We start from the raw sequence: 15881 nt of genomic DNA, 5'->3' as shown, positions 1-15881 counted from the left end.
TAGCTTTTATAATAATGTCTGCCTCTATTTCCTTATGGTTTCATCACCCAACTATGTATTTGTAAACATTATAGTCTTACTCACTTAAAAAGATGTCTCTTTTAATCTACACATTTCCCTTACATCTTTTACTCGCAGATTATCTGTTGAAAGACTTGAGCTGTTTGATATGCAGAGTTTTTCACAGTCTGGAGTTTACTCATGGTGCAGTTCCACACATTTCTCCTGTATTTTCTACAAATTGACAGAGATAGTGAGACTTGATCAGTCTCAGAATCAATCCTTTTTTTTAACTTTTATTTTAAGTTCAGGGGAAGATGTGCAGCGCGTGCAGGTTTGTTACATAGGGAAACGAAGCGCCGTGGGGGCTTGTTGTACAGATTATTTCATCACCCAGGTATTAAGCCTAGTATCCATTAGTTATTTTTCCTGATCCTCCCTCTCCCCTCCACCGTTCACCCTCTGATAGGGCTCAGTGTCTATTGTTCCCTTCTATGTGTCCATGTGTACTTACCTATCATTTAGCGCTCACTCAGCAGTGAGAATAAATGGCATTTGGTTTTCTGTTCCTGCGTTAGTTTGCTAAGAATAATGACCTCCAGCTCCATCCATGTTCCTGCAAAGGACTGCATGCATGTATTCATTGCAGCACTATTCACAGTAGCAAAGATATGGAATCAACCTAAATGCCCATCAATAAAGAAAATGTGGTACATATACACCTTGGAATACTATGCCGCCACAGAAAAGAATCAATCCTTTTGTGAAGACTATAGGTGGTGGTGTGTATTCTTCTCTTTTTTTTTTTTGAGATGGAGTCTCACTCTGTTGCCCAGGCTGGAGTGCAGTGGCGCGATCTCGGCTCACTGCAAGCTCCAATTCCCGGGTTCACGCCATTCTCCTGCGTCAGCCTCTCGAGTAGCTGGGACTACAGGCGCCCACCACCACACCTGGCTAATTTTTTGTATTTTTAGTAGAGACGGGGTTTCACCGTGTCAGCCAGGATGTTCTCGATCTCCTGACTTCGTGATCCGCCCGCCTCGGCATCCCAAAGTGCTGGGATTACAGGCGTGAGCCGCCGCGCCCGGCCCTGTGTTCTTCATCTGGAGGCACATAACAGCTGGCTGCCTCTCTTTTTGTGATGTTAGTAGCTGTTCCATTGATACTTATAGCTGAGACCCATTAATTCACTGGGGGTTGAACTGTCTCCGCTTTAGAGGAACTTGAAATTCAATGAGAAATAGAATTAAAGTTTTTGAACGGTGAAATAATAAAGGCAACATATATTAGGTACTTCAAAATCATCTCTACCCTCTTGGAAATGCCACCATGAATTTCAGTATTCTCTGATTCGGCCCATGAGCAACACTGGCCAGGACAGACCTCTCTTTCCTCTCCGCCAACCTTCCCTCTTGTCTTCCCCTAGAAAGCTGCCATGGAGTCTTCGTTGAACCCTTACCATGGGACAGACACTGAGCTAAGAGCATTGCATGCATGAGCTCACATAATCCTCACAACACCAAATGGAGATATCATTAGCTCCGTTTCACAGAAGAAGCAATCAAGGTTTACAGAGAATAGAGAACCTGGCCAAAGTCATCCAGCCAGTATGTAGTAGAAGAAGGTTTGAACTTAAATACTTTCTGCCTCCAAAGTCCTTGCTGTTAACCGAGCTGTGCTGCCTCCCAGATGGTCACAGTCATTGCTCCTTTCATCTGAATTTCCTCTTCTCTGTGCATGCTTTTTCTCACATGAGTAAGTATCAGAAACTTTTCCTGTTCTTGGATTTTAAGCCTTCTGGTTTTCTTTAGAGCACTCGGAAAATCCTATCTTTTGCTAGAAGTCCTGACTGAAGGGAGCTCTGTGAAAAACTCCCCATCTGCATCCTAGGCAAACTCGTTGTCCCTTCCACTCCTCAGCAGTCACTCAGGCATTAAACACTTACAGGATTCTCATTCCTGCAAACTATTACCATCAATGGTAGAACTGAACTGAACTCATTGACTGGAAATGTATGGCTCTTGGTTCCTTTTTTTTTTTTTTAGCTTATTTAGTCCAGTCCCTTGGTTTATTTGTCTAATCTCTGTGCTGGTATAACACCGATTTAGTTATTATTGCTCTATGATAAATCTTAATAACCAAAGGGCAAGACCCTCTTTCTTCTTACTCATTGTCAGAAGGTGTAGGCTATCCTTCCATATTTGTTAAACTGTTAATTTCATGAAAAACCATTTTGTAATTTTATTGAAATTGCATGAAATCTACAGATGAATTTAGGAAGAAGTGACATCTGTATGATATTGAGTCTTTCAAACCTTAGTATGGCACATCTCTTCCATAATACATGCTTTTCTTTCATCCTTAAAGTTGTATAGTTTTCTACATAACAATTTTACAAAAATGTTTAATAAGTTTATTTATTGGTGCCTTTCACTTTTTCTTACTATTGGGATTGTGTTCTTCTTTTCTATTGTATTTTCCATCTGGTTATTTTAAGAGCACCAGAAAGCTATTTTGTTTTTGCATGTTGATCTTTGTATCCTACAAACATCTCAAGGCCTCTTATTAGTTGTAATAATTTGTTCATTCACTCTGATTTTTTGTGTGCATGTATTATCTGCAAATTTGACAGTTTTCAATTCTTTTAAATCTTTATACCTCATTTTTTATTGAATTTACTAGGACCTCCAGCACAATATTCAGCAATAAGAATGACAGCAAACATCCTTATCCTGTTCCTACTTGAAAAGGGATGTTCCCCATTTTGCTATTAAGTGTGATGTTAACCATAGATTTATGGTTTAGCTTAAGGATACTCCCCCCTTTTCGTTAAGTTGCTTAAAATTTTTAATCATAAATATATACTGAATTTTATTAAAGACTTGATTTTTTCTAATAATATTTTAATGTGGTCATTAGAATTTCAATATTTAAAATATTGTTCCATTGCTAAGATATACCCTACTTGGTCACAGTGAAATGTCTTTAAAAAATTTTTATTTTTCTATTACATGGAATTTTGATTTGCTTATGTATTTTTTTCTTACTTTACCACTTGCATTAATAAAAGTCATACAAAATGAAAAAAAATTTATTGGGGGTTGAAAAATGGTGATATTCTAATATGTCATTTTGTTTTCATTTATTAGCTGGGATAATTTTATAGAGCAATACTTCCCATATCTATCATTTGGTTACCTAGTATGATAGTTCAAAAGCAGGAAAAAAACATTATTTTTTCCTTTTATTTACCAGTGTTTAATATAAGTTACTGGTTTCTTGACATCCCTTAAAGATGATCAATTGACTATAAAAATCATTATGAACTCACAAATCCCATTGTAATTCTTATTTTATTGAAGCTCCAATTTCCCATCATTGGCCAATGAAAAACTCTTCAAGTTGGCTCCTGAATCTTTTGGAAATTACCCCAGTAGTATTTGATAGCTTCCTTGCCATCTGGTATGTCAAGATGTTTTAGGTTCATCCTGTTTCTTTCCTGTCCCATACAGGGAGTAAGCAAAATCTATAAGAACCTCTGATTTCTTTTAGTGGGAAATAATATTTCAATATTACAATTTGAATCTAGCTATGTTTACTGCTACAACTGGGTTGGCCATTATTTCTGGACTTTTTTAGTTTATAGAACTAGGGAAAATATATCTTTTTAATATTATATTTATACATATCCTTTTCCACACTGAGAATCATGGTTCTCAAAGGCACTAGGCAATGATAGAATTAAATATACACAAATTCTCATTTGCTTTATCATACCAAATACACACAACAGTCTCAGAATAATAATACAAATACTGCCATCATCAATTATGATTATGGAAAGCTGTTGAACAAACTGTTTTTAAAATCAGAGACAAACTTTTTGTATATGCTAATCCAATTCTTCCCCACGTTTATTTTATGATTTTACTACATTAAACCATATAATCATTATATTCTATTCTCTTTTCTCATTCACTCTTTGTTTCACAATGAAGTGTTATTTAATGCATCAGTCCTTATGTTGATGTCTCTCTCTGGTGTTTAGAGCTCATCCCAGTAGATTCCTCAAGAAGAGCTCATGGGAACGTAACAAAGAAGTATGAAGATAGGATTAATTAAGTGGCTCAGTGATATCACCAAAAGCCAGCTTATTTCTTCCTACTGTCTGTGGCCCAGGTCTCTTATGCTTGAAAGGTGGCTGCAGCAGTAAATAGTATTAAATTCTTACGCACAGCAATGTCCTAGAGGCTAAAAAGAGATCTGTCTATTCTTTGAGTCTCCTTATAAGAGCAAAGAAGCCTTTCCCAGATGCCTTACTAGCAGACTTTCCCTTACATCCCACTGATCAAAATGGGGTCACACATTCCTTCCTAAGCCATCACTGGCAAGAGTATGGAATTATCATGATTTGGTTAGACCAATCAAGATTCACCCCTGAACTGGGGTTAGAGCCATTTCTCTGAAGCACATGGTTATAGGGAGGGTCATGGATACCCAAACAGAATCAGGTTCAGTTTAGCAAGAAGGAAGCATGATGGCTATTAAGTAGGTAACCAACATTACAGATTTTGATAAGTGTCACGAAGGGATTAAAAACAGCACTGAGATAGAAAACTGATGGTGGCAATTGGGCAAGGAGATGAGATAGACTTGGCTGTGGTATTCAGAAGGATAATAAGTTGCTATCTGTGTGAAGAACCGGGGGAGTATATTTTGGTTAGAAAGAACAGCATGTAGGCTGGGCGCGGTGGCTCACTACTGTAATCCCAGCACTTTGGGAGGCCGAGGCGGGTGGATCACGAGGTCAGGAGACCCAGACCATCCTGGCTAATACGGTAAAACCCCGTCTCTACTAAAAATACAAAAAAATTAGCCAGGCGTGGCGGCAGGCGCCTGTAGTCCCAGCTACTCAGGAGGCTGAAGCAGGAGAATGGCGTGAACCCAGGAGGCGGAGCTTGCAGTGAGCCGAGATCGCGCCACTGCACTCCAGCCTGGGCGACAGAGCAAGACTCCGTCTGAAAAAAAAAAAAAAAAAAAAAAAAAAAAAGAACGGCATATAGAAGGGGGAGGAGGGGGAAGTACTTGAAGGAATTGAAGAAAGGGTGTTATGTTGGGAGTGTAGTGAGCAAGAGGGAGGTTTGATGGGAGGGGATGCCTATTAATATTTTGTTGCCTGGCTGAGCGTGGTGGCTTACGCCTGTAATCCCAGCACTTTGGGAGTCCGAGGCAGGTGGATCACCTGAGGTCAGGAGTTCGAGACCAGCCTGGTCAACATGTTGAAACCCTGTCTCTACTAAAAATACAAAATTAGCCGGGTGTGGTGGCACACGTGCCTATAGTCCCAGCTACTTTGGAGGCTGAGACAGGAGAATCACTTGAACCTGCAGTGTGGAGGCTGCAGTGAGCCGAGACTGTGCCACTGCACTCCAGTCTGGGCAAGATAGAGTAGACTCCGTCTCAACAACAACAACAACAACAACATTTTGTTGTTGTTGTTGGTGTTGTCTGTCTGCCACCACTAGAATGTAAGCTGTATGAAAGCAGGGTCTTTGTCTTGATTCATTGTTATGAAATGAATAGCACCCTCAGCAAATAGATCAGTGTTTGGTTCACAGTTCCTGACAGATAAATATTTGCTTAATGCATGAATGAAAGGAGAAGAAAAAATTTTAAACTGTAATGAATATCTTAGAAAATAAGAGAAGTATTTCATTTGTAAAACAAGTTCAGGATGTGATGAAGAAACAATAATAGAATAAGAAAGAGCTCTTGGAAATTAAAAATCTGGTGATCAACATTTTAGAAAATACAATTGGTGCCTTGGAAAATAAAGTTGAGGGGATCTTGCATCTAAATTCTAAGATCTAAAATTCTTATTTAAATTTAAACAGTACATTTCAATTATTGTTATTAATTTAATTCTTCTCTCTAAAAAATCATTTTAAGCATGTATATGTCAGATATTACACATTTGCCATAGTTGCTTATAAAACTTGTCTTTATTTTAACTTTAAGCCTCTGTCTGCTTTGCTTAGACAATAGAGTACAAAGATTAACAGATGGAAAATAGAAGAGGCAATATAAAAAAAATTAAAGGGTCAATCCAAAAATTTCAATATCTGACTAACAGAAGTCCCAGAAAACAAGAGAACAAAGAAAATGAACGGGAGAAAATTATTAAACAAGTAAAAGCTTATTTTCTAGAACAGAAGATCATGTGTCTCTGATTTATAGGGCCAAAGAATTCCTGGACTTCACTCAGAGCTGGAAATAGTTCATGCTTCCATCATCCAAAGTAGAAAGGCCTTATGATAGATATGAGTTAGAGTCTTCAGCAGTAGTGAGCAGAAATTAGCCCTAGACTAGAAGGCTGCTCTGGACCTGCTCTAATAAAAATTTAAAAGCAAACCTCAAACAGATCAAACTGATCCCAAGTAACTTAACTGCCTGCTTGAATAAAGTGCAAATTCTTTATAAGAATGCAACAAAATACCCATACAACAATGTAAAATTCACAATATCTAATATCCATCATCCAGTTAAAAACTATCACAGTAGGCAGAAGAAGAAGCAGGAAAATATCCACAAGTATAAAGAAAATAAATCAATAGAAATAGACTCAGGAATTATAGACATGGCGAAATTAGCAGACAAAGATGGTAAAGCAGTCATTATATGCTCCATGTGCGAACACAGAGGCAAACGTGAACATGATGAGAAAAATGGAAGATATAAAAAAATCTTCCTAGTCTCCAGTCTTCAGGCAAGAGCAATATGACTACTGTGTTTCTGTAGCCTGCTGGAACATCTAGGCAGAATGTAGCTGTACTGCCCTGCTACCAACATTCTCCATGGAGTTGGGAGAGGAACGAAGTAGCCTGCAGAGAACTGAATGTACACTGGGAGCTGCTGAGATGTGGCTGGTCTGGGGCCAGACAGCTGAGCAGGATCAGTTCAGAAATGAGGGAAAACTGTGGATGTTCCTTTAAAAAGCACATCATTATTGGTGGCCTTGTGCCCTTAATTCTGGTTCGCACACAGAACAAGTGACAATTTCCATGATTAGCTAAAAAGAATTCAGAGATTTTCCAAATTTGGATTGAATGCGTTTGTTTAAAGGATTATTTCCTGTGTAACTCATTCAACACAAGTTATACAGGAAAAATTGCCTAAGCAAAGCAGATGCAGGCTTAGAGTTAAAATAAAGCCAAATTTTATGAGCAACAATGGCAAATGTGTAATATCTGGAGTATAAATATTTAAAATGGTTTTGTTAGAGAGGAGAATTAAATTAGTAACAATAATTGAAATGTATGGTTTACATTTAAAGTAAGTAAGAATTTTAGAGCATGACTAAGACCTGAGCATGTCAAGTGAGATATCAGTTCCTAACTAAAAATGCTAACTCCTGGCCTGAGAAATGATAATCACTGTAGTAAAAGCTAACATTTATTGAGTGCCTACTATGTGCCAGGCAAGTAAATATCTTAGACGAAAGGTAACAGGGTATCAAATGCTCTTCCAGAAATTCTAAGTGTTTCTTTTAGAAATTCCAAGTATACATAGCTTTTTCTTTAATGAAAAGGAGTATCAGCGTGATAGGATTTGAACGCTCAGCTGCTTTAGCTACCTTAAATGAGCTAAGTGGAAACATTTACTAAACTTTTGATTCAATATCTTAATTCTAAATTATTTGGCTATTTGTGTGTGTGTGTGTGTGTGTGTGTGTGTGTGTGTGTGACTCCTCTGTCACACAAGCTGGAGTGCAGTGGTGTGATCTTGGCTCTCTGCAACCTCTGCCTTCCAGCTTCAAGCGATTCTCATGCCTCAGCCTCCTGAGTAGCTGGGACTACAGGCTCCTACCACCACAGTTGGCTATTTTTTATTGTTTTGTATTTTTAGTAGAGATGGGGTTTCACTATGTTGGCCAGGCTGGTCTTGAACTCCTGACCTCAAGTGATCCACCTGCCTTGGCCTCCCAAAATGCTGGGATTACAGGCGTGAGTCACTGTGCCAGGCCTTTGGCTACTTTTTGAAGTGGATATTTTCAGTGGGTGAGATGGTAGATTATAAATAGCTTAATCCAGAAATTAAAAGTCACCTAAATGTTAGCAACACCTAATATGGAATTTATGAATAGCCCAAAGCAGCCTTTGCAGCCACTTTAAGCTAACTTTAAATAAAATGATACCTTTATGCAACTTCTTCATTATCAAATAAAATATTTATATTTGGGAAGTAAGGCATACAATAAAAAATAAATAAATGGAGCTTTCACCTTTGGAAAACAGGCACGATAATTTCCTGAGGACTCGCTGAATCTGAAGTTGGATTCTCTGGAGATTTTGGACTTGTCAACTGGCTGCCTTCAGTTTCTCCTATGAAAATGAGGACAGTAGTAATGCCCAGTGAGAAAAGGAGGGTCAGAAATGAATAATATAATGTAATAAATGTGATATAATTCTCACATTTCCCAGTCCTACCATTATGTTAATCAATTTGTTTTACTATCAGTAATGGCATCAGGCCTTTGCAGAGTAAATGATTGGCTTTCACATACTGCTGAATAATACCTAGCCCACACATTTGTTCTGCAGACTAATTAATGTTTCAGAGTGTTTAAACACAATGCCTCTACAGAAGCAATGGCATTATAATGTGTTGGGACACTCTAGTGTTGTAATTAGTACTAATTAGGTTCTTTTCAACAGCTTGTTGAATTTACAAATTACTGCCTGTGAGGTATTCTGCTTTATTTATTCATTATGAAAGAGTCGGACGCAGGGTTTAAATAGGCACCTTTAAACAACTATTCTCAAGGTCCTACACATACTCCTCCCCTCAAACCAGGGAAGGACAATAGGAAGACACCCTTCTCGGAATGGTTGTGAGGGAGAGCAACCCCAGTGCTGTGCTAGGAGCCAGCTCACACTGGCTGGCAACAGCTGAATCCAGGCATCTTTTCCTAACTGTGAGCTCAGTGATATCACATTGATAGCTTGAAACCAGCGATGGTGGGAGTCTTTTTGTGTTGTTGTTGGTTTTTGAGACCCAGTTTACCAGCACATCACTGCTGGTGTCTTCTCTTCAATGCAGGGAAGCTGGTGGCAATGTTAACCAGTGGCAGTGGCCTGAAGCCATGTTTCAGTTGTACATTAATTAGAATGGTCTAACTGCTGAAACAGACATCAACGCTCAGTGGCTTATAGTGATTTGTATCTCACTCATCACACTATCCAGGGTGATTTGGTGGGGGGCTAATGAAGGGCAGTGGGCTTGTGTGTGGACCCAGACTCTTTTCATCTAGTGCATGGTACCATGGACACCTTTGGTGGTTTGTTAAAGCCTATGGACCCCTTTTTAGAGTAACATTTTTAAATGAAAAAAATATAGAGAGGATGATAAAAGAAACCAATTTTATTGAACTGTAGTTATCAAAATATTTTTAAAATCTGTGATATGGTAATATATGTGCTCTTTATTAATGCATTCAATGACAAGGTCTCATGGAGGGTTTAATAACTACTGTCATTTTGAAGAAGTGCTATTCTAAGATATGCAGCAACTTAAATGTGCTACGAAAACATCTGTGAGCTCTATTGGTGACAAAGTCACAAGTACTGCTAAATTACACTGTTTTGTTGCCTACATTCAGGGTTGGAGAAGTGCTGAATTTGAGTTGAAGGTTAATAAAACACAGGTGTTCTTTTCCTCCATTCAGTGTTTGGATGGCCTGAATTCTATCCACAGAGCCCATGAGGGTCTACAGGCTCCAGATCAATAATCTCTGACCTGGCTGGGCATATTCCAGCACCTTAGAAGGCCCAAGGCAAGAGGATCGCTTGAGACCAGGAGTTTGAGGCCAGCCTGGGCAACATAGTGAGACCTCGTCTCTACAAAAAACAAAAATGAGCCAAATGTAGTGGCGCATGCTTGTAGTCCTAGCTGCTAAGGAGGCTGAGGTAGGAAGATCGCTGGAACCCAGGATCAAGAGATGCTGCAGTGAGCTGTGATTGCACAACTGCATTCCGGCCTAGGCAAGAGTGAGAATTTGGCTCTAAAAAAAAAAAACAAACAAAAAGAAAAAATAATCCCTGACCTAATGGCTAGTGGCTTCATGATTCTTAGGGCCACAAAGACACTAAGTGGACACTGTGCATACATCTGCAGATAAGGGCAGATAGACAGTGGAGGATTATGTGGGTAGATTTTGTGCTCCAGGCCTGGAGGTGGCATACATTATTTCTGCCCAACCTTCTCATCTCTACATGACACACCTTGCCTTTGTATCTTTCCATTGGCAATTCCTGTCAAAAGTCCTATCCCTTGTTTTTATTGTCACTTTTTCCTTTATATCACCCTCAACATGTTGAACCTAACATTTCAATGAATACATTTTCTACTTTAAGTGGATTCTAATTTTGAAGGCAGGGTATAGGCTTCATATTCTTTATGTAAGAAAAGTTGAGTCTGGGCTCTGTGGCTCACGCCTGTAATCCCAGCACTTTGGGAGGCTGAGGCAGGCAGATCACGAGGTCAGGAGATTGAGACCATCCTGGCCAACATGGTGAAACCCCGTCTCTACTAAAATACAAAAATTTAGCCGGGCGTGGTGGTGCGCACCTGTAGTCCCAGCTACTCGGGAGGCTGAGGCAGGGGAATGGCTTGATCCTGGGAGACAGAGGTTGCACACTCCAGCCTGGTGACAGAGCAAGTCTCCATCTCAAAAACAAAACAAAAAAGAAAAGGAAAGGAAAGGAAAGGAAAGGAAAGGAAAGGAAAGGAAAGGAAAGGAAAAGAAAAGAAAAGATTGAAGCCTTTTATATCTATTTGTCCATTGCAGCAGCCATTAGGGACATATAACTAATGAGCACTTGAAATGTGGCTAGTCCAAATTAAGATATGATGCAAGTTTAAAATACACACCAATTTTGAAGTTTTAGTACAAAGAAAATAATGTAAAATAATTAATATTATTTAATACAAAACTGCTATTTAATAGCAATTACATATTGAAGTAATACAATTTTGGCCCTATGATTGGGCTAAATAACATATATTAAAACTAATGTAATCAGTTTTTAAAAAATTTTAATGTGGCTACTGGAAGACCAAATAACATTTGAGGCTTACATCTATGGCTCACATGGCATTTCTTTTAGACAGCTGTTCTCGAATAAAGATTCATAGAAGATTCATAGAGCTGCAAGGAAACTTAGAGATAAGCATCTAATCCAACTCTTTTATTGTAATCTCAGAAGCTGAATGAGCTGTTCTCATCTGCCTAGCTAGTAAAGCACACATAGGCTTGGAATTCAGGTCTCCACACTCCTGGTGCAGAGCTCTTTTCATAATCCATGGTATCCAACCAAACCAAACCAAACATTTCCAAGATTTAAGTTTCCAGTTCAAACCAGAATATACTCTGATTCTGAGTTACACATAAGCATCCCGAAAATGACAAGCCTTTTTTCCAATCTGATGTATTTTCAACCCTAGACTTAAAACTTAAGTATAATTTGCCCTGCCCCTGAAGAACTGCAGGCACAAGCAGCCAGCCAGACAGGCTCGTGCTTGACTCCCTCATTAACCCAGATAAAAGAGGCCCTGAGGTCATTTGCCTTTGCCCTGGTCTTCTGCATTTCCCTTAGCTGAATGGTTAAACTCACAAGGAAATGCTAAGATTTTCTTATCTCTTCTGAATTTTCTCTTAAAGGGATGGAAAGATATGAAAACCTAGTATTTCACATGACTACCCCTTTTTCCTAGCCAGGAGGTGGCACCGTGGATAGCAGTTAAGGGAAATAACAGATGAGTTTCATTCTCTTTTGTCTCATTTTCTGTTCTTGGCTTCCACTCTAGACCTATAACCAAATTCCCAAGGTCTGGAATATTTTCTGAACTTTTTGTCCTAGAATAGTCCAAGGTTTCCCCCATCCAACTTACTCTCCCTCTCTAACTCACCGATTTCCATAAAATCACATTTGAGCCGTTGTGTATGTAGATAATGTTTCAGATAAGGGCTTAGATGTTTAAAAAGTTTCTTATCTTAAACAATGTAGTACCAATACATAATCTTTCCCCCTTAGGAATTTTGAGTAATGAAGTGCTCCTTGAATCATATAATTTGCAGTTGAAATTGAAATAACATAATTACCTTATCCAGTGTTCTTTGGAAAACACCGTCACTAGACTCTGAGGTTGTCTCATTTTCTCTGAACTTTCTCACCTTTTTCAGTGATTTCTGGAATGTTAAGTTCTGAGAAGCCATAAGATATGTCTCCTGACCCATGACAACTTTAGTGACTAACCCACTTACTCACACATTTCATGTTTCAGCATTTCCTCCCTTCGGTATCATTATTTGGCACTTCCACGAGAAACTCCTGAGGCGTACTATAGCTAACTACTTTGTTTATTTCAGATCATCACTGCTATTGACATCAGTGGATGTCTGAGAAAGGGAGCACAAACCTTCATGTCTCCACATGTTTTTAATGAAAATATTTGATGCCTTAAGGTGTGCTGATAACCAAACTCAGCATTTCTCCAGGGATATGTTTAAATTTCTGCATTGTTCATTCTAAGGAGAAATATACACATATGATGTATTTTGCAAATGAGCATAAGTTTCACTAAGATATGTAAAAGACGCTTTCAAAATGATATTTATAATATGTCTCATTTTTAGAAGAGTGGACAAAATAAAATGAACTTACAGAGCAACTAAACCCTTAAGAAACATTTACCATAAAATGTTAACTGTGTAGCTTTCTTGATTCAGTAGGGCATTGGCTGTGGAGGTAGAGCACCCAAGTACAGATAATGGCCCCATCTCTTGCTAGCTGTGCTACCTTCTGCAAGTTATCTAGCCTCCTCTAACCTTGGTTTCTTCCACTACAAAGTGGGGATAATAGTACCTCCGAAGGCTGTTGTAAAGACTCATTGCACTAATCCTCGTAAAGCACTTAACACTGTGATAGGGACATGGACTCTCAACAACTGGTTTTATCACTTATAATAGTATACCTTCTGCAACCTAAAGTCAAAGATTTTAAATAAACTGTACATCAAATAAAATACTTTTCTTCAAAATCCTTAGTCAACCATTCCTGGAGCCAGTTGGAATCAGAACTGAATTTCTATATATTTTCTATAATTTATGGAGTTGAGACTTCAGTATGCTTCAGACTTAATAGACAGCATAAACTTGAGGGGCAAGTACATGAACTTGGTGTAGAAGAACTTGTTTGAATCCTGGTTCTGGCACATACCATGTGACTTTGGGCTTGTCTTTAGGCCTCGGTTTTCTCATTAGTGAAACAAGTTGTTTAATTGATTGATTAAGTCTTTTCAAAAAAACTTACTTAGGATGAACTTATAAACCTTAATTTGCAGCATTTAGTTTAGTCCAAGCTTGTGCAATCCATGGCCTGTGGGCTGCATGTGGCCCGGGAAGGCTTTGAATGTGGCCCAACACAAATTTGTAAACTTTCCTAAAACATTATGAGATTTTTTTGTGTGCAATTTTCTTTTTTAGCTCATTAGCTATCCTTAGTGTTAGCATATTTTATGTATGGCCCAAGACAATTCTTCTTCTTCCAATGTGGCCCGGGGAATCCCAAAGACTGGACACCCCTGGTTTAGCCCTTAAAACCTCAAACGTCATGGAACACATCTATTTCTTTTTCTTTTTCTTTTTTTGAGACAGGGTCTTGCTCTGTCGCCCAGGCTGGAGTGTAGTGGTGCGATGGCTCACTGCAACCTCTGTCTGCTGGACTCAAGCTATCCTCTCACCTCAGCCTCCTGAGTAGCTGGGACTGTAGGCATGTGCCACCACACCTGGCTTATTTTTTCAATTTTCTTTTGTAGAGATGAGGTCTTGCTATGTTGCCCAGGCTGATCTTAAACTCTTGGACTCAAGCACTTGCCCACCTTGGCTTCCCAAAGTGCTGGGATTATAGGCGTAAGCCATCATGCCTGGCCTATCTATTTCTTATAATAATGAAGCATTCATTGTGTGTCTTTCCTTCTAGTCATCAAATAGAAATATGCCCTGTTCTGTGAAACGGGATGAACAAAGCAGACTAAATCCCTGCTCTCATGGGACTTACATCATAGAGGTGGTGGTAGGGAGAAATAAAACTAAGAAATAATAAGATGGTATCATTACCAAGGATGATGAAGCAGGGAGGTCAGTGTGGTTACGGAGGAATGAGCAATGGGAACTGTGAGCAGAGACAGGGCAGCAAGGTAGGTGGGATCACATCTCAGGGGGACTTATAGGCCATTGGAAGGACTTGGGCTTTTACTCTGTGTAAGAAGAGAAGCCATGGGGAGTTTCGAGGAGAGGAACGCCATAGTCTGAATTATCTGACTGTTGTGTAGAGAATAGACTGTAGGGGGGACAAGGGAGGAAGCAAGCCAAACAGGAAGAAGCTGGAGCTGTGATCCGGGCCAGGGATTATGGTGGTGTGGACTAGGGGGTAGCTGGAGGTAGGGAGACATGGTTGGGTTATAAATACATTTTGGAGGTAGAGCTGACAGGATTTGCTGATGAAGTATGTGGAATATGAGGGGAAAAAAAGTGGCTTCAAGGATGACTCCACAATTTCTGACCTGAACAAAAGAAAGAATGGAGTTGCTGCTTATTGAAAGAAGGAAGACTGGGGGAACACATTTGATGGAGAAAATGAAGAGTTCACTTTTGGACAGGCTAAGATTGAGGTTCAAGTGGAGATGTCAGCTAAGCAGATGGATGTCTCATCTGATAATCACTGTCATTTGTTAAGTGGCATCCTTAATTACCTGCCAGGCACTAGGGTAAGAACATTACACGTGTTACCTCATCTAAATTCTCATAATAACCCTCCAAGATAGGTACTGTTATCATTTGCAGATGGTGAGACTGAAGCCCAGGGAGACTGTGGCAAAGGCCACACAGCTAATATTTAATGCACATGGTCCTCCTTGAAGCCAATGCCTCACTCTTGCATACAATGTCACTCACTACATAGCCATGAGAGGAGGCGGCTGGGTGTCAGAAAAACTGAGCTGAGTTCATGCTCCCATGAGGAGTTTGCTGTATGGCTTATATCCATTGCCTCAACCTCTTTCTGTCTTAATTCTCATGGATACCTTGAAGGTTATTGAATTCAAGTCAGAAATATCACTTACTATTTAAGAGCAGAAAGATGCTGATGATATATGCTCACAATATATTTTACTTCTGAGGATTACAAGTAATTTTCAGCACCAAATACTGTAATTCAAGGGAGCGGTAAGAACTGTCATGTAATGAAATTATTGTTTCCCAAGGAAATCAGGTTGGATGCTGTTCTATGTCGATTATTGTCTTCTTTTATAGCTGAATTAGGCATGTGGCCATGAATTTTCATTTCTAGCATAACCTAATCGAAAACCAGCTTCTTATTTGTGATGCTACTGAGCAAGTGAAGTTTTTCAATCTATATTTCACGATAGCCTTTAGATGAACAAGCAGAAGTATAATCATGATGTTCTCATTTGCATAAGCATCTTCTTGACAGGTCATCAGATATCTTTATTGTTCTTGGGTACATTTCATGGGCTGCTGAAAGCGTGCATAATGATCTCTAGCAATTCATCTTTTTACCTAGCTTAATGGCCCTTGTTACATATTAGGAGAATGATGGAGTGAAAAGACAAAGTGTCTGGGGCCTGCCTGCCTAAGAATGTGGAGAAAATTACATTGGGGAATAAATTATATTAACTCCTTCTCATCATTCACTTACCTTTTGTAAATTTCATCTCACTATGCTAAACAATCCTGGATGGCCTGGGAAAAAAGTCGTGCACCTTCTCACTAACAGGCTCAGATTCCTTGTTCATCGTTAAGA

The 15881-nt window shown here is 39.2% G+C and overlaps 1 protein-coding gene across 6 annotated transcripts in view; it reads left to right on the top strand.

Moving 5' to 3' along the window:
• The window catches only part of NIBAN1 (niban apoptosis regulator 1), a 183477-nt gene that overhangs the window by 8401 nt on the left and 159195 nt on the right, over nucleotides 1-15881 (top strand). For 2 of the 6 annotated variants that reach the window (XM_047444091.1, XM_047444093.1), the window contains exon 1: nucleotides 1449-1755. The exons of 3 other annotated variants lie outside the window; for them this stretch is intronic. In XM_047444091.1, coding sequence (XP_047300047.1) covers nucleotides 1524-1755 — 232 coding nt within the window. In that variant the 5' untranslated portion in view covers nucleotides 1449-1523. Of the gene's footprint in view, nucleotides 1-1431; nucleotides 1756-15881 lie in introns of those variants that run through there. One more of the 6 variants, XM_047444094.1, reaches the window with a different exon arrangement.

The sequence above is a fragment of the Homo sapiens genome, chromosome 1 (genome assembly GCF_000001405.40).
Source record: "Homo sapiens chromosome 1, GRCh38.p14 Primary Assembly".
Taxonomy (NCBI): domain Eukaryota; kingdom Metazoa; phylum Chordata; class Mammalia; order Primates; family Hominidae; genus Homo; species Homo sapiens.
This window is presented reverse-complemented; position numbering and strand designations above follow the sequence as displayed.